The 1608-nt window shown below is 52.0% G+C and overlaps 1 annotated feature.

Moving 5' to 3' along the window:
* Window positions 660–1230: an enhancer, noted in NCBI's record as "H3K4me1 hESC enhancer chr6:14540385-14540955 (GRCh37/hg19 assembly coordinates)". NCBI's record gives its function as "activates a minimal SCP1, AML or CMV promoter by ChIP-STARR-seq in primed H9 embryonic stem cells {active_cell/tissue: H9 hESC(primed)}" and the evidence as "EXISTENCE:reporter gene assay evidence [ECO:0000049][PMID:30033119]".

Raw genomic sequence — 1608 nt, 5'->3', positions numbered from 1 at the left:
ACAAAACCCTATCTTTCTAATTCATCTTCCTCCAAGCTTCTGCGATGACTAAGTCCAGGATGTAGCAACATAATCCTGAGTGTGGATTTTTAAAAGGGGGAAAATGAGAAGAATGGCAAGGTAGACAAAGATAGCAGGCACAAGATGAAAATACCAAGACTGACACCCACCCCACCTGGCCCTCAGCTCCTGATGAAAAGAAACCAAAGCCCTCGGATTCACTTCAATTGCTCTCTGGACCTGAAATGACTCCCTCCCCCAGGCCTGTAGGAAAATTCAATTAAAGGGTCCATCTGCGAGGCAGCAGCTGAAGGGGAATGACAGTGGGGAGGCCCACATTTTCATAAAAAGCTCTTCTCCTCCTAGCCCGCCCCCTCCTCTATGCACCCTCCCCTGCTTGCTTATTAGGCCCAACCCTTACCTCTAAACTGCAATTCTCTCCAATTAGGCGGGCTCAGAGGAGCAGCTTTCATCTGCTCCTTTCAAATGCGCGCACGGGAAAGACTGGGTACATCCCACAGACACGAGGCTTGCTGGGAGAGAGCGAGAAAACCCGCAAAAATAGCCCACAGAGGCTGGGAGCTAGAAGCCCCCTAGCCCAGTTAAGCCCCCTGCCTCAGTGGGCTTAGTGGCCGTGCACTGCTGGGCATGAGTTCTGCAGGCCATCCAAACCGAAAGGCAAGACACTAGTATTAATACTACTAATAATAAAAAATCACGACCAGGCAAGCTTTCTGGGCTTCAGTGAGAAACAAAGAGAAAGGCAGAAGGGAAGGATTAAATGGGATGACCTCCAAAACAAGCCTTCACCCTCCTGAGCCTTCTCACCCACAGGGCTGCCTGCCTGCATTAGTGTTTGTTTTGGACAAAGGGAGCCGGGCCACGCTGCTGGCCGCAACGATGGTGGCTCTGGCCAAGGGGCAGGTAAGAAATCCACCATCCTGTGACTCACTGTCATCTGGCAGGGTTGACTGAGGCTATTTTAAACATGAAGGATGGCCCTTCCAGGGAGTGAGTGCCTCTTCCTTCTGTCCACATTCCCTTCAAACCCACCAGTGCTCATGACAGTCCTGTGGGGCAGGACTGAAGCACAATCTCCACAAAGTCCTCCCAACCCTGAGCCCCAGAATGTCCTGCGGTACCCTCTGAGGACTTCTTATCTACCTTGGCAACTTCTCAGGCCTCCTTCCCACTTCCTTCTGCCCCCTTTTGATGATCCGTGTTGAGAGAACATAGGTAAAAGGGCGGCTCATTGCCCTCCTTTGTACCTAAAGCTGGAGGAAGCAGAATCTGGCACATGAGAGTTGACTTAACATAGGCCCGTATGAGGCTGGGCGCTGGGACTGGTGTACATATTTGTCTGCTCGGGATTTTTGCCCTAACAAAGCACCACAGCCTGGGGGGGCTTCAGCAACAGAAATGTACTTTCTCATGGTTTTGGAGGCTGAAGCCCGAGATCCAGGTGTCCACAGGCTTGGTTTCTCCCGGGGCCTCTCTCCTTGGCTTGTAGGTGGCATCTTCTCCCTGTGTCCTCGCGTGGTCTTCCCTCTGTGTGTGGCTGTTCCTCCTCTCCTCTTCTTATAAGGACATCTGTCCTCTTGGGTTAGG

This window comes from Homo sapiens, chromosome 6, assembly GCF_000001405.40.
Source record: "Homo sapiens chromosome 6, GRCh38.p14 Primary Assembly".
NCBI classification, from domain to species: domain Eukaryota; kingdom Metazoa; phylum Chordata; class Mammalia; order Primates; family Hominidae; genus Homo; species Homo sapiens.
Note: the sequence above shows the minus strand (reverse complement) of the source record. Positions and strands in the feature narration are given on the sequence as shown.